The sequence below is a fragment of the Homo sapiens genome, chromosome 22 (assembly GCF_000001405.40).
Source record: "Homo sapiens chromosome 22, GRCh38.p14 Primary Assembly".
Lineage (NCBI taxonomy): Eukaryota > Metazoa > Chordata > Mammalia > Primates > Hominidae > Homo > Homo sapiens.
This window is the reverse complement of record NC_000022.11, coordinates 37,967,242-37,986,938: the sequence shown is the minus strand read 5'-3', so window position 1 is coordinate 37,986,938 and position 19,697 is coordinate 37,967,242. Positions and strand designations below refer to the sequence as shown.

At 56.6% G+C, this 19,697-nt stretch overlaps 2 protein-coding genes and 1 non-coding gene across 8 annotated transcripts in view, besides 6 other annotated features; 1 reads left to right on the top strand and 2 right to left on the bottom strand.

Moving 5' to 3' along the window:
* Positions 1–19,697, bottom strand: part of POLR2F (RNA polymerase II, I and III subunit F) — an 88,253-nt gene that overhangs the window by 54,977 nt on the left and 13,579 nt on the right. For 3 of the 6 annotated variants that reach the window (NR_125371.2, NM_001301129.2, NM_021974.5), the window contains one exon: positions 17,627–19,314. The exons of 1 other annotated variant lie outside the window; for it this stretch is intronic. Coding sequence is in view for 4 of the 5 variants with exons in the window: in NM_001301129.2 (NP_001288058.1) it covers positions 19,224–19,314 (91 nt within the window). In the remaining variant the exon portion in view is untranslated. Of the gene's footprint in view, positions 1–626; positions 786–14,628; positions 14,710–17,626; positions 19,315–19,697 lie in introns of those variants that run through there. 2 more of the 6 variants (NM_001363825.1, NM_001301130.2) reach the window with 2 other exon arrangements.
* Positions 489–1,323: an enhancer, noted in NCBI's record as "VISTA enhancer hs564". NCBI's record gives its function as "enhancer in: heart[9/13]" and the evidence as "EXISTENCE:transgenic organism evidence [ECO:0001131][PMID:17130149]".
* Positions 2,384–14,627, top strand: SOX10 (SRY-box transcription factor 10). Its single transcript, NM_006941.4, has 4 exons — positions 2,384–2,600; positions 3,071–3,582; positions 8,804–9,072; positions 12,741–14,627. Exons 2-4 carry the CDS (start codon positions 3,155–3,157, stop codon positions 13,442–13,444), a joined length of 1,401 nt encoding a protein of 466 aa, NP_008872.1. The 5' UTR covers positions 2,384–2,600; positions 3,071–3,154; the 3' UTR covers positions 13,445–14,627.
* Positions 3,278–4,115: an enhancer, noted in NCBI's record as "H3K4me1 hESC enhancer chr22:38378831-38379668 (GRCh37/hg19 assembly coordinates)". NCBI's record gives its function as "activates a minimal SCP1, AML or CMV promoter by ChIP-STARR-seq in naive H9 embryonic stem cells {active_cell/tissue: H9 hESC(naive)}" and the evidence as "EXISTENCE:reporter gene assay evidence [ECO:0000049][PMID:30033119]".
* Positions 14,150–14,350: a silencer, noted in NCBI's record as "peak4487 fragment used in MPRA reporter construct". NCBI's record gives its function as "represses an SCP1 promoter by STARR-seq MPRAs in K562 erythroleukemia cells {active_cell/tissue: K562}" and the evidence as "EXISTENCE:reporter gene assay evidence [ECO:0000049][PMID:32103011]".
* Positions 14,680–15,193: an enhancer, noted in NCBI's record as "OCT4-NANOG-H3K4me1 hESC enhancer chr22:38367753-38368266 (GRCh37/hg19 assembly coordinates)". NCBI's record gives its function as "activates a minimal SCP1, AML or CMV promoter by ChIP-STARR-seq in naive H9 embryonic stem cells {active_cell/tissue: H9 hESC(naive)}" and the evidence as "EXISTENCE:reporter gene assay evidence [ECO:0000049][PMID:30033119]".
* Positions 18,123–18,417: an enhancer, noted in NCBI's record as "tiled region #10540; K562 Activating non-DNase unmatched - State 17:Gen3'". NCBI's record gives its function as "activates a minimal TATA promoter and a strong SV40 promoter by Sharpr-MPRA in K562 cells {active_cell/tissue: K562}" and the evidence as "EXISTENCE:reporter gene assay evidence [ECO:0000049][PMID:27701403]".
* Positions 18,800–19,300: an enhancer, noted in NCBI's record as "H3K4me1 hESC enhancer chr22:38363646-38364146 (GRCh37/hg19 assembly coordinates)". NCBI's record gives its function as "activates a minimal SCP1, AML or CMV promoter by ChIP-STARR-seq in naive H9 embryonic stem cells {active_cell/tissue: H9 hESC(naive)}" and the evidence as "EXISTENCE:reporter gene assay evidence [ECO:0000049][PMID:30033119]".
* On the bottom strand, positions 19,315–19,376 carry MIR6820 (microRNA 6820). The gene has a single exon (NR_106878.1). It is a non-coding gene; the product is annotated as a microRNA 6820 (primary transcript).

The window sequence follows — 19,697 nt, the reverse complement described above, 5'->3', positions numbered from 1 at the left end:
GGGCAGAGGCCCAGGTGTCTTCAGCCAGGATCCCTCCCCTCTCCAAGCTCCCTGCTCTTCAGGAATGACTATGGGTCCTTCACCCTTGCCTGCTGGAGAGCACTGGGTTCCCAGGGCCTGGGATGGGATGGAGGGGATCCCAGTTGCCAGCATGGTGGGCAGGGATGTGTTCGCAGCAGGGGCCCCAACCACACACACACAGCACTGGTCATCTGACAGCCCTTCCCACCCGCCCTGCAGGCCCACCTGCCTCACCCAACACTGCTCAGCAAAAAGCCCAGCACAGCCCTGAGAGGAAGGCAGTGTCTGTGCGGGGACAAGGGAGAGAGAGAGGGAGTGGCCCCTTCTGTCTAGCGTGGCTTCCTGCAGACAGAGCGTGCCCACTGCTACCCCCACCCCCATCCTGGCACAGCTGGACCAAGGAGGGCAAAGGAGGAAGCAGGGAGTTAGAGAGGGGGCAGCTGTGGGACCCCACATTCCACCTCCTAACTCTGGGCTCTTTCCTTCCACAACCACCCCTCCTGCCCCAGGCGGGTCTCAGGCCAGTCACAGACACAGCAGAGAGCGGGGAGGTCCTTTCCTCAAAGAGGAGGAACTGAGGGGTGGAAGGATGAGTGGGGACCCACCGGGAGAGAGAGATGCCAGGCAGGCAGGCAGCGGGCGGGCAGCAGCGGGTGTTGGAGGCGACTGCAGGGCAGCCGGGACACGACGGCAGATGCTCGTCCCTCGTCCCTCTGTCCATCCAGGGCGGCTCCTCTCCGGGCGGTTCTGAGGCCGAGCGGGCGCTGTTAAAAAGCTTTTTATGTGTGTGTGTGTTAATCACATGATTGCCGTTCACCTGTATTTCGAACAAAGACAGCTCACTGTTTCAAGGCCCCGAACAAGAGTCTGGGCACAGGGAAGAGAAGGGAGGCGGGGGGAGGAGGGTTGGCAGCGCCGGGGGTGGCGTCGAGGAAAACTGGGGGGAGATTGTCCAAGGCCAGCAAGCGAGAGAAAGAGAAAACCCTTATCAAACTCCTAATTCACTGGGCTCCGAGGCCCCAGACACACTGGCCCGATTGTCTGGCTGGTTGTGTGTGTGAGCATGTGTGTGTGTGTGTGTGTGTGTGTGTGTGTGTGTTCCAGTGTCTGCTCCCCCCACCCCCAACATGCCTCTGCCTCGTGTGACTACCTCATTGTGTCCCATTTCCCACCCCCTACACCCCTTTGGACTTTCCCAAGCATGAGGCCTTGCCTCCCCAGACCCTTTGCAGCCCACTCCAGACAGGACCCCTTGGGGTGGTCTTGGGGCTTTGCCCTGCTGTTGAGGAGCTCAGAACGTCACATGGTTGCCAATGCGACCCCAGCTCCATTACATAACCCACATACACCCCACCTCGGCCTCAACACCCCGGCGGGGCTGCCCTCAGTTAAGAGAACAGCACTGCGACCTTTGGAGGAGAGGCCAAGGAAAGAGAGAGAAAAAGGTGTCAACGGAGGATGGGCAGGAAAGAAAAGGGGAGGGAGGGAGAGGTGGGCAGAGGAGGGAAGAGGCAGGGCAAGTCCCCACCCCTTGTTGGGGTGGGGGAGTAGAGGACTTCGTGACAATCAGGACTAGGACTCCCCTACCCTCTCCCAAGACAGGGTGAGCCCAGTGTGGAAGGAGCTGGGTCCCAGTAGGTAGCAACCCAAAATGCCTCTAAGACCTACTGAGAGAGGGCCCCCAACCTGTCCCACCTTGGCCTCCTGGCAGCTTTAGTCTTGTGTTTCCACCTTGAACCAGACCAGAACGCGCGTGTGCTGGGTGTCTGCAGAGAAGGGACCAGGGGTCAAGCTGGGGCTCTGCACTTCTCAGAGGGATCCCTGAGAAGTCTCTCTTACTGTGCAGGATGGGGCAGAAAGGGCTGCCTGGGAAAAGGTAGGAGGCAGGGTGAGGAGCTGGGCATCAGTGCCTGGCACACACTAGGCACTCAACAGGATTTCGCAGACGAAGCAGCTAGGGCCAGCCACCCTCACGGGCCCCCAGGACCCTCACCGCCTTCACGTCTCTCCCTAGTCCCCTGCCAAGTGCCCATCCTGCCACCTGAGGCAGACGTTAGGAGTCCTGGTTGGGCCCAATTTTCTTCCATCCAACAGGTTCTGACCCTCCAGCCTACATCTCTTCCTTCCTCGGCCTAACCTCCCCTCCACCTCCCAGACTAAGCCCAAGATAAGCCTCAGCAAGATGGGCCTGGGCAGTAGGGCAGGGAGCTGGGTGGGGGGGCCTGGGCTCCGGGTGGAGGAGCCCTGAGTGTTGGGGATGAAGGAAAGCCTGGAGGCTCCACCTTCTGCCCTTCCCTCCCTCCTCTCCCCTCCCCCCTCTCCCCCTCCTTCCTTCCCCAGCCCTCCGCAGCGGCTCAGGCTCAGTCGCTCAGTCAGTCTCGGGCTGTCCGGCCAGGGTGGTTGGTGGTAAGGATTCAGGCTCCGTCCTAACGAGGCCGTGGCCTGAGGCTCAGGGCCCCCCGCCCCTCCCTCCCAGCCCACCAGCGTCACCTCCCAGCCCCGAGCTGGACCGCACACCTTGGGACACGGTTTTCCACTTCCTAAGGACGAGCCCCAGACTGGAGGAGAGGTCCGAGGAGGTGAGTGCGCAGCCTGCTCCTCCCTGGCCCGCCCAGGCCTGGGACCCTGCTGTGAGGTGGAGAGAGGCGACACCCCGCCCTTGCCCCCCACCTGGCTCTCCTCTAAACCCCGTTGGGGCAGGCTGAGGGAAGAAGGAAAGGTGAGAGAAAAGGTGGGAAATTCCAGGGGCCGGGATTAGAGCAAAATAAAGGCTCCGTTTTTTTCTTCCTTATCATCAACAAACCTCCACCCAAAAAAGGAGGCTAAAAAAAAAGCCACCCACACCAAGAGACGGTTGGGACCAGGTGGTGGGAAGACACAGAGGCGGGACGCACCCACCTAGAGTCTGGCATGTGCGTGGGCCCCAGGGGCCAGATGGGTTTAGCTGGAGCAGGAAGGGCCGCCACCTCGGGGCTGTGCCCACGTCCTGTCTCGGGCCGCCCTCGGGGCTGCGCGCGCGGCCGCTCCATCGCGCCCTCCTTCCATCCAGGTGGGCGTTGGACTCTTTGCGAGGACCCCGGCGGCTGGCCCGGGGGAGGCGGCCGAGGCGGCGGCGGCGGCGGCCGGGGGCGACATGGCGGAGGAGCAGGACCTATCGGAGGTGGAGCTGAGCCCCGTGGGCTCGGAGGAGCCCCGCTGCCTGTCCCCGGGGAGCGCGCCCTCGCTAGGGCCCGACGGCGGCGGCGGCGGATCGGGCCTGCGAGCCAGCCCGGGGCCAGGCGAGCTGGGCAAGGTCAAGAAGGAGCAGCAGGACGGCGAGGCGGACGATGACAAGTTCCCCGTGTGCATCCGCGAGGCCGTCAGCCAGGTGCTCAGCGGCTACGACTGGACGCTGGTGCCCATGCCCGTGCGCGTCAACGGCGCCAGCAAAAGCAAGCCGCACGTCAAGCGGCCCATGAACGCCTTCATGGTGTGGGCTCAGGCAGCGCGCAGGAAGCTCGCGGACCAGTACCCGCACCTGCACAACGCTGAGCTCAGCAAGACGCTGGGCAAGCTCTGGAGGTGAGCACCCGACCGCCCCCCGGGCTCGGGCCCTCTAGCTTCGGGTGGATTCAGGGTAGCCGAGGCGGCCCGGCCTCCTGCACCTCAGAGCGGGACTGTCTGGCAGTCCTCCTTGGATAGGGCTGGAAGACCAGGTGTGGGGGCCGCGCCCGCCCTTCCATCACAAGGACCCTGGAACTCGGAACTCCAGCGGCCTAGGCCGGGTCTCCCTACGGGGCGGCGGGCAGGAAGGCGCCCCCTCGTGGTTGGAATTTTGCGGGTGGCAGACCGTGGGGCCTGGGGCTTTGGAGGGAGGGAAGGAGGCCTTCACTAACTCCTGCCCACAGATACGCACACTATGCCACCAGCTGCTGTGGTCAGGAGGATACGAGGGAAACGCTTGGAAAGAACCAAAGGGTTGGCTGGAGATTCAGGGAAACTGAGGCAGTCAGATGGAGAACTCAGGGGAGGTTTAAAGAAAACGGAATTCAGATGAGAGTCTTTGGAAGAGTGAGGGATGAAGAACTGCGGGACAAATCTGCTGCTGCGGGACCTCATCCTATCCTAGGGCTCTTCCCTGGGACTTTCTGACGCCACCCTCCTTTGAGTTGGGGGCTTCTTCATCCTCCTAGGGAGAGGACACACAGTAAGGGGCTCCCCCTCCTGCCCTGCCCCAGAGTCACCAAGCTGATCTCTTTCCTCCCTCTCCCAGTTCGGCGCCATCTTCCCTGCCAGGGCCCCACCCCAACGTTGAGCAACCTCTTCCCCACTGCCCCAGAGCTGGAGCTGAGCACTCTGGCCAGAAGGAAACCTTGGCCTCCTTCCTGCCCAGGGGCCCTCAGAGTCCCAGGTTCCCTGGGACCAGCCCACACCTCTAGGAAAAACATCCCCCGCAGGGAGCAATTATCCCACCCTCGACTCAGGTCTGGGGTTCAGCCAGGCCTCCTGGGGATGTGTGGAACAAGACAGTCCCCCACTCCCACCCGGGAGTGCCAGAGCAGCTCTGAAAGAGACCAGGGACTCCAGGAGATGTGAGCCGGTAGCAGTCACCTGATTCTCGCTAGACTGACCAAGAGACAGGCCCAGAAAGGCAAAGGAATCACAAAGGTCACATAGAAGTTGGTAGCAGAGCCAGGGCCAGAACCCAGGACTCCCATACTCTCTGTCCAGAGGACTTCCCCTGACCCTGGTGACAGTGGTGGATCACCTACACTTTGAGGAGTGGTCAGGAGGTTGGGGGGAAGCAAGAAGATGAGAACAAGAGTGAGGAGCATCTGGGTTCCAGAAAATTAGGGCTTTGTCAGAGGAGCCCGGCTCTCTTCCGCTGCCCTCCCCCTTGCCAGCCACAGTTGGGTAGAGATTGGGTCTAGAGGCTTAGAGTGGTAGAAGGTGCAGGAGGATCTCCAAGAGACCAAAAGATTCACATCCCGCCCCCTGGCCTGTTCTTGCCATGTGTTTGCTGAAGACCTGGTGCCCCTTCCCCTGCCCCTTCTCAGCCCTCAGTGCCCTGCTCACCCAGGGCAGGCCCAGGGCTCAGCGACCAGCCCGCTGTGTGGACCCAGACAGCCCAGTTCTGCCCAAGAGCAGAGGTCACAGCTAGCTCCTCCACCCAAGGTCCATCCAGATCTGGGTGGGGCTTGGCCCAGGCCAGTATCTTTAGTGCCAGGGGACAAAGAGCAAGTGAGAAACAGACAACCAGGAGAGACATACAGATAGGGCAGACTCTGGGGACCATGAGAAGACCACAGTACGAGCCCAACGAGAGTCAAAGCAAGGACGGACCTCATTTTCCCTCCATCTCCCATTGCCAAGGGTTTAAGATTGGCTCCTCCATTGTCCCTGTCCCCAGGTTCCCCCAGCCCAGAACCCTGGGCTTGGACTCCCTTCAGGAGGACTTATTCTTGGCCATCACTCAAGCTGTGTGCACAGGGGCCAGCCTGAGGTGTGGCAGTCAGGAAAACTGGCACTACTTGCTGAGGACCCAATCCCAATGGGAGGATGGGGCCAGAACCATGGCAAGGATCAAAGGCAATGCCAACAGAGGGTGGCTCCCTGGACCCTGGAGGGGGGTCCTGAGAGACATTTGGATTTGGGCTGGGCTGGCCAATTGCTCCAGGGGCTTCTCCTGAAACCTCCCCAAGCTGTGACTCCTGGGATGTCAAGAAGTGGGGTGGTTAGGTAGGCAGAGCTGGAAAACAGGTGTCTTAAAACCAAAAAGAGAAAGATACACACAGACTGTGTGGAGTGCCCCAAGGGAGTGTGGGATCAGACACACTGGAGCCCAGGTCCTAAGGGGCCGTGTCAGCCCCAACAGTCATTCTAACCTTTGATGCCCATCTGGGGAGGGGCTAGTTGAGGCTGATCACAGGGTGGTGCCTGTGGGTTGGCTGATCTGCCTGGAAAGAACCAGAGCCAAGAAACTGGAAAGGCGGACACAGGCAAGAGTCCCTCCTGTGTGGTGGGGGTCACCCAGCCTCTGTTCCCAGTGCCACAGGCCCCTTCCCCAAGTAGTCTTCTTATGCCCCTGGCCTAGCAGGACACAGGTAGCAGCAATCAGTGCCCCACTGTGGGAGGTCCCCGGTTGGGGTTTCCAGTTTGGGTGAGGAATCAGCCTACCTCTTCTTGCCCCCATTCCAAACCTGGGAGACCAGGGAGAAAGAGGGCTGACAGGAAGGTGCAGATGAGGACTGGGTTTGGAGTTAGAGCTGGAGGCGAAGTTGGGGGTTTGGGGCTGGTAATGTTGAGTGGGGACTGGTGCTGGAGATTGGGTTTACATGGTGGGCAGGCTGGGCTTGGGGTTGGGGTGGAGGTGGAATCAGCTGTCCGGCACAGCTGGTGGAGGAGGGAGCTGGGGTCGGGGATGGCAGTGGCCCCAGGCTTAGATTTCTGTCAGGGTTAGGCTAATGCTGGGAACTAGCTTAGGAGGTAGCAGCGGAATCCGATGTTGGAATCCTCTCTCTCTTCTGGCCCCTGTCACTTTCTTGCTGATGCTGGCTGCCAGCTGGGCAGGGGGCAAGGGAAGGATAGGTGAAAGAGTGAGCTCTGTGTCCCATGTCCCCAGCCATCCCAGAAGCCCCTCTGTTGGGGTCCACTGCTGGCGGAGCAGCTCTCTCCTCTGTGGGTTCTCCCCAGTCACACCCTCAAGGCCTGCTCCACCCCCTCCCCTGGTCCCAGCCGTCAGAGAGGGTGCCCACATCCCACTCCCTGACTCTCAAGGCCCTGCTCCGGCATCTTTGTCCTAAGTGTGTACACTGACTCTGACAGAGTCTCGGCTGGAGGGACCCTCTGAGAAAGCTGGGGCTAGGGCTGGGCTCAGGGCCGGGGTGGGGGGAGTAGACAGGGAGGCTAAGCCGCAGAGGAATGCTGCTGCCGGCTAGGAGGTGCCTGGCATGACCACCCCCGCCCAGCCTGGGGAGGGAGGGCTCGGCCTTCTGCTGACTGGGGGAAGAGGGCACTCACTGGGGTGTGAGGGGTGGGGCAGCTGAAGAGACAAGCCCTCTGGACTGACAGACAAGGCTGCTCCCACAAAGACTCATGGATTCTCAGTACCAAGGTCTGGGATTCTAGAATCTGGACTTTCCCCTCGACCCCCTCTGTAAGGTACCCCATCCTGCCCTCCTCACCCTGGGGCAGCCAAACCCTAAATGCCCTCCACCCTCCAACCCTGGCCTAAGGCTGGAGTCGGTGGCAAGGGCGCTGGCTTCAGGGCTTCTTCTCTCCATGTGTTGGTTTCAGGGACTGTTCCAGGGTCTGAGGAGAGGCTAGCTTCCTCTACTCTCTGCTATTTTCTGGACAAGGATATAGGATCCCCCACAGGAGGCAGTACCCCCCACCCAGACCCATGGTAAAGAGGAGCCACATCTGCCCCCTCAGTCCCACCACACTGGAATTCACACAATCAGGACCCAGAGTTAAGAGTCCAACCCTAGATCCTCCTGTCCAACCACCCCCGCAAGCAGCATTAGAAAAGCACCTCTTGGGGCCGGGCACGGTGGCTCATGCCTATAATCTCAGCACTTTGGGAGGCCAAGGCGGGTGGATCACCTGAGGTCAGGAGTTGGAGACCAGCCTGGCCAATATGGTGAAACCTCGTCTCTACTAAAAATACAAAAATTAGCCAGGCATGGTGGTGCGTGCCTGTAGTCCCAGCTACCCGGGAGGCTGAGGCAGGAGAATCGCTTGAACTCAGGAAGCCGAGATTGCAGTGAGCTGAGACCGCATCACGGCACTCCAGCCTGGGCGACAGAGTGAGACTCTGTCTCTAAATAAATAAAAAATTAAAAATAGAAAAGTACCTCTTGGGCTGGGCACAATGGCTCATGCCTGTAATCCCAGCACTTTGGAAGGCCAAGGCAGGCGGATCAACTAAGGTCAGGAGTTGGAGACCAGCCTGGTCAACATGGTGAAACCCCATCTCTACTAAAAATACAAAAATTAACCGGGCGTGGTGGCGCATGCTTGTAATCCCAGCTACTTGGGAGGCTGAGGCACAAGAATCACTTGAACCTGGGAGGCAGAGGTTGCAGTGAGCTGAGATCATACCACTGAGCTCTAGCATGGGTGACAGAGTGAGATTCCCTCACAGAAAAAAAAAAGAAAGAAAGAAAAGCACCTCTTCCTCAAGGTGCTCAGCCCGCTTCCCAGGCCCTGGTGCAAGGCATCTCACATCCATTATTCTGGCCAATCCCACACCCAAGTTAAGCCAATGTTATCATCCTTTTATAGGTGAAGAAACTCAGGCTCAGAGAAGTAATTTGCTCAAGGTCACACACACAGCTAGTAAGTAGCAGAGACTGAGTTCTCCCCCAGCCATGCTGCTTCTATTGCCCACCCTCAGTCCCAGGGAGCTCACCCCCACTGAAGTAGCCAATTCCACTTGCAGACAGCTTTGATGATGAGAAAGTTTTTCCTTTCCTTGAACTGGCATCTGCCCCTTGAAACCTCTACTCCTACTTCTAACTCCTCCTCAGGGGCTGCCAGGAGCAGCGGGCTGACCCCTCTCTCACCCTCCAGCCCATGAAAGATTTGGGGGCAGCCCTCTGAGGCTGTTATTCCTTGGGCCTCACATCTCTCAGTCCACAAATCATAGGGCACAGCCCCCACCCCGGGTCCTGTCCTCTGGGTGCCCCATCCCAGGGCCTCACATCTTCCAAGATGGACACTCAGAGGGAGGCCAACCTGGAGTGCTCTGGCATTCACGCCAGCCCCTCTGCTGTCCTCTCCGCCTCCCACCACACCCCAGGCTGCTGAACGAAAGTGACAAGCGCCCCTTCATCGAGGAGGCTGAGCGGCTCCGTATGCAGCACAAGAAAGACCACCCGGACTACAAGTACCAGCCCAGGCGGCGGAAGAACGGGAAGGCCGCCCAGGGCGAGGCGGAGTGCCCCGGTGGGGAGGCCGAGCAAGGTGGGACCGCCGCCATCCAGGCCCACTACAAGAGCGCCCACTTGGACCACCGGCACCCAGGAGAGGGCTCCCCCATGTCAGATGGGAACCCCGAGCACCCCTCAGGTGAGTGCTGATGACAGAGCTGAGGGTGGGGCAAGGCCAGTCAGTGGAGACAGGAGATGGCTGGATGGCAATGAGACCCTGGACTCTAGGGAGAGCGTGCCAGGCTGTGCAGTTGCCCCAGCAGAGCTGCAGGGGCCCAGAGGGAGCTCCATGGGGGTTCCGGTGCCAGGGGAAGTGGCTGGGTGAGATGGCTCTGGCCAGGGCTGATCCTACTGGGCAAAGAGGGCCAGTTAAAGACTGTGGAGGCCGCCGGGTGTGGTGGCTCACACCTGTAATCCCAGCACTTTGGGAGGCCGAGGAGGGCAGATCACGAGGTCAGGAGATCGAGACCATCCTGGCTAACATGGTGAAATCCCATCTCTACTAAAAATAAAAAAAATTAGCTGGGCGTGGTGGCGAGCACCTGTAGTCCCAGCTACTCAGGAGGCTGAGGCAGGAGGATGGCGTGAACCCAGGAGGCGGAGCTTGCAGTGAGCCGGGATCGCGCCACTGCACTCCAGCCTGGGCGACAGAGCGAGACTCTGTCTCAAAGAGAAAGAAAAAAAAAAAGACTCTGTGGAGGTCATGGAGTGAGAGGTGGCTGGGGCAGTTACAAGTAAAGGGGGAGAAGACAGGATGGTTTTGAGAAATGGAAGAGCAAATGGAGGAGAGGAAATCACTGCCTCTTTCCCACCAGCCATTCTTTTTTTTTTTTTTCTGGAGACAGAGTCTCACTCTGTCGCCCAGGCTAGACTGCAGTGGCATGATCTCGGTGCACTGCAACCTTTTCCTCCCGGGTTCAAGCAATTCTCCTGTCTCAGCCTCCCAAGTAGCTGGGACTACAGGTGCACACCGCCACGTCTGGCTCATTTTGTGTATTTTAGCAGAGACAGGGTTTCACTATATTGCCCAGGCCCAGTCTCAAACTCCTGAGCTCAGGCAATCTGCCCGCCTCGGCCTCCCAAATCCCACCAGCCATTCTGACAGAGGAGACATGGCATGTGATACCGTGTCTGGCCATGGATGGGCCAGACATAAGCTATCTTGTTTAATTTTCATTAATGATAATAACAGCTAACCTTAATTGAGCAGCTACTCTGTTCCAGGCACTGTGCTAGGTGCTAGTTGCCTTATGTATACTAACTCAATCCTTGCAAACAATGTGATGAGGTACCCAAACTGCCTGGGCTCAGATCTCAGCTGTGGCAAGTTACTCTCATTTTACTGATGAGAAACAAACAGGAACTTCCCCAGTTTGGCTCCCGGGCATCTGCTTGGCACCACAGCTGCCTTGCCTGTGTTCCTAATGTACAGAAAGTGACACACACAGGTCTGCCACATGGGAAGTGCTCAGTGAGCAGAGCTCTGCCTTCAGAGGACACGCTCTGAGTCCTACTTTGTGTCAAACACTGGAGTGGACACCAGGGGTACTAACCAGAGAAGCCTACAGTCCCTGGCCTCAGGGGCCCATAGTCTAGAGAGAGGAGCAGGGATGAAAACGAGTGAATTAAGTACAGGAAGAAACAAAGCTAGGCATGGTGGAATGCGCCCGCAGTCCCAGCTACACAGGAGGCTGAGGTGGGAGGATCACCTGAGCCCATGAGTTTGAGACCAGCATGGGCAATGTAGTAAGACTCTGTCTTTTTTTTGTTTTTGTTTTTGTTTGAGATGGAGTCTTGCTCTGTTGCCCAGGCTGCAGTGCAGCGGTGCCATCTTGGTTCACTGCAACGTCTGCCTCCTGGGTTTAAGCGATTCTTGTGCCTCAGCCTCCTAAGTAGCTGGGATTACAGATGCACGCCACCACACCCAGCTAATTATTGTATTTTTAGTAGAGATGGTTTTTCACCGTGTTGGCCAGGCTGGTCTCGAATTCCTGACCTCAGCCTCCCAAAGTGCTGGGATTACAGGCATGACCCAGCACGCCCAGCCTCCTATCTCTTACTATATATATAGTATATATATAGAGAGAGAAACAAGTGCACAAGAAGTCTGTGTGAGATCCAGAGGTGGCATGGCCGTCTATCCCATCCAGTCAGGTCTCCAAGAACACCCCACTGCCCACCAGACTCTTGTCAAGGAAGGCTTCCAGAAAGAGGCAATGCCTGGGCTGCTTGGTACAATCTCTATTTTACTGATAAGGAAACTAGTTAAGAGAAGACTGGGGATTTGTCCAGACACAGAACCAGGATTCAAAAGCCTAGGCAGGTCTCTTGAAGTACAGAGCCCTTGGCCAATGCAGGACTTGGCGCTGCCTCTGGTCTGATGAAGGAGGCACAGGCCTGTCCTTGGGGAGCTCCTAGTCTCTTAAGACCATGGACATGTTCTGTCTCCATTGGGATGCCAGGCAGTCATCCCTCCCACACACGTGTACATACTCTTCACCTTCAAAGATTCAGGGACACACACACACACATCAGGAGACCCTGGACCACATACAGAGCAACCACCTCAGAATGAAACTGGACACAGACTTTTTCTCACCCTTCAAGGCCCCACCCCACTCAGACATCCTTCCCTGATCAAACCTTCCCCAAATCCCTGAGGCAGCGGGTGGACTCCTCCTCTGGTCTCCCAAGTCCTTGCATATTGTCACCACAGCACTTCCAACTCTGGGTGCATGTGGATCTATGGATCTATGACTAGACTATGAGCTTTTGGGAACAGGGATCCATTTTATTTACATTAGTATCCCCAGCACCTGGCACAGTACCTGGCATTTTGTAATGCTCCCTAAGAGTTTGCTAAATTAATATGTGAATAGGAAAGTGAACAGACAAAGGAACAAGGACCAGTTTTCTAAGTGCCCTCCCATGGAGGAAGGCAGCTCAAAGAACAACAGGGCAACACAGGCCAGCGTATGACGGGGCTAAGGGCTTGCCAGTGGGCTGGGAAGCAGGGTGGGCTCAGGAGGAGGGAAGGGTTGGAAAGGACACAACATGAGGCCAGGACAGGGAGCAGGCCCAGGCAACCAGCAAAGGTGAAACAGAGCACTCAGGAGCCTGGGCGAGCGAGGCTCAGCAAGGAAGACAGTAGGCATGGGTGTGGAAGCGGGGCTGGCAGAGCGCAAAGGCTGGGCCAGACCACCTGGACAGCAGAGAAGCTGATGAGAGGAAGAACTTTCCACAGGAAAGGTTTTTTCAGAATGAGGCAGGCCTCCCCAGGACCCATCCCTAAGATTTGAGAATTTCATAAACAACTAGAGATCAATCTAAGACACCAGTATTTAAACAAATGCTGTGGGGCGCAGTGGCTCATGATGGTAATCCCAGCACTTTGGGAGGCCGAGGCAGGTGGATCACCTGAGGTCAGGAGTTCAAGACAACCCTGGCCAACATGGTGAAACCCCGTCTCTACTAAAAATACACAAATTAGCTGGGCATTGTGGTGGGCGCTTGTAATTCCAGCTACTCAGGAGGCTGAGGCAGGAGAATCATTTGAACCCAGGAGGCAGAGGTTGCAGTGAGCCGAGATGGCGCCACTGCACTCCAGTCTGGGCAACAAGAGCGAAACTCCATCTCAAAAAAAAAAAACAAAAAAAAACCCGACTCATGCTGCCAAAATGTGAAACTTACAAGGTTTTCCCAGAGGCACCCGCTGCCTGAAGGTGAACCATGGAAGTTCACGTGCGCCCACCTGCCTCTAACCTGCTTCCCCCTTGCGCTCTCTCTCTCTGTCTCCCTTCTACCCAGGCCAGAGCCATGGCCCACCCACCCCTCCAACCACCCCGAAGACAGAGCTGCAGTCGGGCAAGGCAGACCCGAAGCGGGACGGGCGCTCCATGGGGGAGGGCGGGAAGCCTCACATCGACTTCGGCAACGTGGACATTGGTGAGATCAGCCACGAGGTAATGTCCAACATGGAGACCTTTGATGTGGCTGAGTTGGACCAGTACCTGCCGCCCAATGGGCACCCAGGCCATGTGAGCAGCTACTCAGCAGCCGGCTATGGGCTGGGCAGTGCCCTGGCCGTGGCCAGTGGACACTCCGCCTGGATCTCCAAGCCACCAGGCGTGGCTCTGCCCACGGTCTCACCACCTGGTGTGGATGCCAAAGCCCAGGTGAAGACAGAGACCGCGGGGCCCCAGGGGCCCCCACACTACACCGACCAGCCATCCACCTCACAGATCGCCTACACCTCCCTCAGCCTGCCCCACTATGGCTCAGCCTTCCCCTCCATCTCCCGCCCCCAGTTTGACTACTCTGACCATCAGCCCTCAGGACCCTATTATGGCCACTCGGGCCAGGCCTCTGGCCTCTACTCGGCCTTCTCCTATATGGGGCCCTCGCAGCGGCCCCTCTACACGGCCATCTCTGACCCCAGCCCCTCAGGGCCCCAGTCCCACAGCCCCACACACTGGGAGCAGCCAGTATATACGACACTGTCCCGGCCCTAAAGGGGGCCCTGTCGCCACCACCCCCCGCCCAGCCCCTGCCCCCAGCCTGTGTGCCCTGTTCCTTGCCCACCTCAGGCCTGGTGGTGGCAGTGGAGGAGGCTGAGGAGGCTGAAGAGGCTGACAGGTCGGGGGGCTTTCTGTCTGGCTCACTGCCCTGATGACCCACCCGCCCCATCCAGGCTCCAGCAGCAAAGCCCCAGGAGAACAGGCTGGACAGAGGAGAAGGAGGTTGACTGTTGCACCCACACTGAAAGATGAGGGGCTGCACCTTCCCCCAGGAATGACCCTCTATCCCAGGACCTGAGAAGGGCCTGCTCACCCTCCTCGGGGAGGGGAAGCACCAGGGTTGGTGGCATCGGAGGCCTTACCACTCCTATGACTCCTGTTTTCTCTCTCACAGATAGTGAGGGTCTGACATGCCCATGCCACCTATGCCACAGTGCCTAAGGGCTAGGCCACCCAGAGACTGTGCCCGGAGCTGGCCGTGTCTCCCACTCAGGGGCTGAGAGTAGCTTTGAGGAGCCTCATTGGGGAGTGGGGGGTTCGAGGGACTTAGTGGAGTTCTCATCCCTTCAATGCCCCCTCCCTTTCTGAAGGCAGGAAGGAGTTGGCACAGAGGCCCCCTGATCCAATTCTGTGCCAATAACCTCATTCTTTGTCTGAGAAACAGCCCCCAGTCCTCCTCCACTACAACCTCCATGACCTTGAGACGCATCCCAGGAGGTGACGAGGCAGGGGCTCCAGGAAAGGAATCAGAGACAATTCACAGAGCCTCCCTCCCTGGGCTCCTTGCCAGCTCCCTCTTCCCTTACTAGGCTCTATGGCCCCTGCTCAGTCAGCCCCACTCCCTGGGCTTCCCAGAGAGTGACAGCTGCTCAGGCCCTAACCCTTGGCTCCAGGAGACACAGGGCCCAGCACCCAGGTTGCTGTCGGCAGGCTGAAGACACTAGAATCCTGACCTGTACATTCTGCCCTTGCCTCTTACCCCTTGCCTCCCAGTGGTATTTGAATAAAGTATGTAGCTATATCTGCCCCTATTTTCCTGTTCTGCAGCCCCCCAAATCCACATGTAACTCATTACTGTCTCCTGTTATTTATCTCAGTAGTCCCCTCTCCTAGCCACTCTAGCCCCTATTAACTCTGCATTAAGCATTCCACATAATAAAATTAAAGGTTCCGGTTACCTGCTTGGTGAGCCTGACCTGGCCTGTCTCTTCATCTCTTATCCCTGTACTGGTGCTTCCTCAAATGCTTTCTGGAAGTAGCTAGGAGTAGAATGCAAAGGATAGATCATCAAAGGTCTCTCTCTCCCACCTCCCTCCCTCTTTCCCCACCCCCTTCCCCTCCCCCCTCCTCTCTCTCTCCCCCCTCCCTTCTCTCCTCTCTTTCTCTCTCTCTCTCCCCCCTCCCCCTCTCCTTTCTCTCTCTCTCCCCCCTCCCACTCTCCTCTCTCTCTTTCTGTCTCTCTCCCTGCTAAGAAAGTGGGAACAATGGAGAGTGTTAGGACAGCTGGCATCCCAGTGGGGTCCATCTGAGCTCAGGGACTGAAGCCTCAGATGGGAACTTCTCCCCAGCCCGGCGGCTATGCCCCACACTGCAGGGGGGCCACTCACTCTTAACTGGCTCAGCTAGAACTCACTGCCTTGCAAGCAGCCCCTCTGCTCACCCAGCACTCAGCAGACGGGAGTTTGCAAAGAATTCAAGAGACAGGTATCTGAAGAGGAGGAGGTGGGCTGAGGGTGACACCGTGCTGCCTGCAGTCAGAGGCCTGTCCTTCAGGATGTGTGGATAGGCCCTGTGTTGCTGCATCCCCCCACTTGCCACCTCCCCCAGCACACACACAGCAGCCCACGCCAGGATCTAGCCAAGCCTTCACAGCAGGTGCCCATGTCCAAGTCCAGACCAAGGATGTCAGACAGTCTACTCCTTAAGCGCCTACTCCCTAAGAGCTCTTTCCTCAGCAGAAGTCCAAACTGCACCCAGAGGCCAGGACCACTCCACCTCACAAGCACACAACTCCAAAGACTCTTTGCCATCTTGCTCCACTGATGAACAACTCCGATGGTTGGAAGTTCTTCCTCATACCCAGCTCATAACAGCTTATATCCAGCTGCCATTTACTAAGTGCTCCACCAAGGGTTTTATGTCATTCAGGCCAGTGAAGGGGTAGGTCCGATCGTTATCTCAATTTTCCAGATGGGGAAACTGAAGTTTGCGAGGCTGATGCTAAGAAGTGCTGGTGCCAGAATCTGAACCCAGCTCTGACTCCAAGGCTTGCATTTTTAACCATCATCCCCTCCACCTGCCTGTGGTTTGCAGCCCCTGCTTCTGCTTTGTATCTGGAGCAATGCATCTTCCACTGCTCCAGACTGGGCATCCTCAGCTCCCTTCCTTCCATCTGCGGTCTCCAGCCCCTAGTCAGGACCAGGGGAGAGGCAGGGCACCAAGAAGTAGCCCAGTCCCCAGGGTGGCCAAAATCCCTCCATCTAGGACCTGCATCATGGAAGCTCTTCAAGCAACCTCCCCAAAACTGCTGGTTCCCGTGAAGCTGGATGGTAACCGAAACCCCGATCTTTTAGACAATATCCATTGCAAAGTCATATCCAAATTGTATGTATGCTGTTTTTGTTTTGTTTTAGATAAAAGCAGGACTTTACACTGATCTTTAACAGATCTCACCTTGTTGGGTTTGACCCATTTCCCCACCTGTATTAAACTTTTTAGAACTTAGCTCTCCTTTAGAGCTTTATGTATCTGCAAACTTGAATAGCCTCATTCAAGTCACTAATAAAGGTCGAAATGAAGAGGGACACCTGTGTACAGCATTAAACGCCTCTCTCCACTGTCAGTCCTATTATCTCCACTCTTTTTTTTTTTTTTTTTTTTTTTTAGATGGAGTCTTGCTCTGTTGCCAGGCTGGAGTGCAATGTTGCAATCTTGGCTCCCTGCAACTTCTGTCTCCTGGGTTCAAGTGCTTCCCCTGCCTCAGCCTCCCGAGTAGCTGGGACTACAGGTGTGCACCACCACGCCCAGCTAATTTTTTTTTTTTTTTTTTAAGTAGAGACAGGGTTTCACCATGTTGTCTAGGATGGTCTCAATCTCCTGACCTCATGATCCGCTTGCCTCGGCCTCCTAAAGTGCTGGGATTACAGGCGTAAGCCACCGCACCTGGCCTATTATCTCCACTCTTTTTTTTTTTTTGAGACGGAGTCTCTCTCTGTCGCCCAGGCTGGAGTGCAGTAGCGGGATCTCGGCTCACTGCAAGCTCCGCCTCCCGGGTTCACGCCATTCTCCCGCCTCAGCCTCCCGAGTAGCTGGGATTACAGGCGCCCGCCACCACACCTGGCTAATTTTTTGTATTTTTTAGTACAGACGGGGTTTCACTGTGTTAGCCAGGATGGTCTTGATCTCCTGACCTCGTGATCTGCCAACCTCAGCCTCCCAAAGTGCTGGGATTACAGGTGTGAGCCACCACGCCCAGCTATTATCTCCACTCTTGAGGCTGTCTAATCAGTTCTAAAACTGTCTAATTACATCACCATGAAGCACACACTTCTCTGTCACAGTGGCATGGAGACTACTGATGCCTTGTCAAAATCAAGATTCACTGATCTCTGGCATTCTCTCAACCTACTGGACCAGTAACCATCGAAAAAAAAACTTATTTGGCAATATTGGTTCTTAGACACCCTATGCTAGTGCCCGATCTCCTCTTTATTATATAAGCACTTTTAAACATGGAGGGACCTATTCTAGAATTTTGTCATGGATCAATCAGTACTAACCTTATGTGTTTATAATCTTTACAACCCACCCTTTCCCCTTCATTGAAAGGCAGGACTTTTGTCCATTTGTGGTCTGTTCACTACTCCTGCTCGCCGTGGGATGAGGGATATGGAGCTGGCACAGTGGGGAGCAGGGGGCACATCCGGAAGATGACACTATCACCTCCAAGACCCCACATCTCATGAGAGTGAGTGGGAAATCACTGAGGATGTGGAAGGAGGGGAAATGACCCCAAGGAAGTCAGAAGACCTGGGTTGTGTGCATCCCTTAGACCAAAGGTTCCAAGTGTGCACAGGCCTCAGGAAGGCAGGAGCTCCACTTGTTAAAAAAGGGTCAGGTGTTTCTGGAAATGACTCAAGAGACTATGCCCAAACCCTAAGAAAACAGAACCAATAGTGGTGACCGGGACATTTTATTCAAGAGAAGTCAAAAGCCAGGCCCAGACAGCTGAATAGCAGGGGACTCCCCAAAAGAGGAGAATGGGAAGAGGAAGACAGGAGGAAAAACACCCCTTCTGTCCCATTTCCCTTGCACTCTATCCCCTAAGGGTTAACCCCCAATTCCCCTCCTCCCCAGCCCAAACCCCATCTCCCTTTAATCACATCTGATACTGAGCAGCCCAGCAGGGAACAAAGAGACCATTTAGAGAAATGGGGCCGAGAAAGTGACCCCCGCACTCTGGGGCGGCTGCCTGGATGCCAGCACAAAGGCGGCATTTCAGAGCTGAAATTTCAGCACCCAACTTGATTAAAGGATTCCACAGGCTTGGAGGAGGGTGGATGGGAGTGTGAAGTCCACTGCTCCCTGAATTAACCCTTCTCCAGGGCAGCGGACACCCCTCCCACCAATGCAGATCCTCACCATTCACTCCCCACATCCCATCCCAGGGCCAGGCTGCACCTAGGCCTGGAGGCCCTGCCTCCTGCAGAGGTTAGGGAAGCCCAGCTCCTCCTCTTTGAAGGGGAGCTGGCAGTGGAATGGAGGTTAAGGCTGGCATATTCAGGGAGCCAGTTTACCCTCTATCCCTGTTCATGTCAATATACACCCTCCCCCTGACCCCCTCTAGGAGGGAGGAGCCAGTGTGACTGGTCTTACCTCAGGTTGGGTAAGCAGGGTGGAGAAAGGAAGAGGACCCATTAGAACCTCAGGCAGAGGAAGGGGGAACTCCAGCTCTGACTTAATGTAACACCTGGAACCCAGGAGCACCACCACCCCAGCACCATGTCCCCAAGGCCTCAGGGGATCACCAGCCCCAAATAGGAGGGAAAGGATATCTTATAGAGGCTAGGAAGAAGGCATGGGTGTGGCACACCAAAGAGGTGGGCCACAGAGGACAGCGTGTGGGCAGAGTCCTGAGGAGGAGTGGGGACAGAGCCATGGGGGCAGGGGTAGGCAGGTGCTCGGTCCTTGCTCCAGCTGCTGACTTGCCCAGCAGGGCTCTGCCTGGGGAGGGTGGGAGATCAGCACACCCCCACGCTTCCTGCTGGGGCACTGCTCCTGAAAGGGGATCCGAGCCCACGATAAGAGGCTCGAAGCAGGTCCTTAGGAAACAATGGGTGGCTTGATGAGACCTGCTCTGTGATACTCCTGAGAAGGGAGAAGCCCCTGCAGCCAGTCCCCACTGGAAAGGAAATTGGGGGTTTCCGTGGCAACCAGCTCCCTGGGCACAAAGACTTGTCTGTCTGCTTGGAAGGCAGCTGAGGTGTCTCCCCTGCAGCAGCCTTTGCTCTGGGGAACAGGGAGATGGAGGGAAGGATGTGGGGGATCCAAAGGGGCTAAGGGCCCCTGGTGCTTCTTAAGGAGCTGACAGTCACAGGGCCACTGGAATAGGTGCATGCTCCACGCAGCATGGCGGTAACGGGGAAGCAACAGGTGGTGACATTGCAGATAAGCAGAGGGGAAGGGGGTTGGAAAGTTGAATATTTTATTATTTACACATATAAAGTGAGAATGAAAATTGGGCATGGGGCAAGGGCAGGAAGATGACTCCAGCTCAGTCGGTGATGATGAGCTCGTCCACCCCCCAGTCTTCATAGCTCCCATCTGGCAGGTAACGGCGAATGATGATGGGGATCTTTCGGGCCCTGTGGCAGGGGAGAAGTCACAAGTACATGAGGGCTGGTGACCCCAGCTCTGCCGCAGAAGGAACAGATTGTGTGCAAAACACAAGCAAAGAGAAGTCTTAGGAGCAGCCTCTTGGGGCTGATGAGTGTACTTTGTAAGAAAGCAATTACAAGAAAAAGAAAGTTTTTATATCAGACAAGAGGGGGAAGAATGACAGAATATTGGTAAGGCCTCCTGCAGCAGGAACAGGGAAATTCCAACAGCCAGAAGACGTCCATGTCTCATCAGTGCCCTCCCACTTTCCCTGCCTCCTCTTCTCTCTTCCTCCTACTTCCTGGTGAGCTGTTCCTAAGGATCTGTAGGAATAAGCATCAACTTCTCCAGCCAGGCAAGTGGGAGCAAA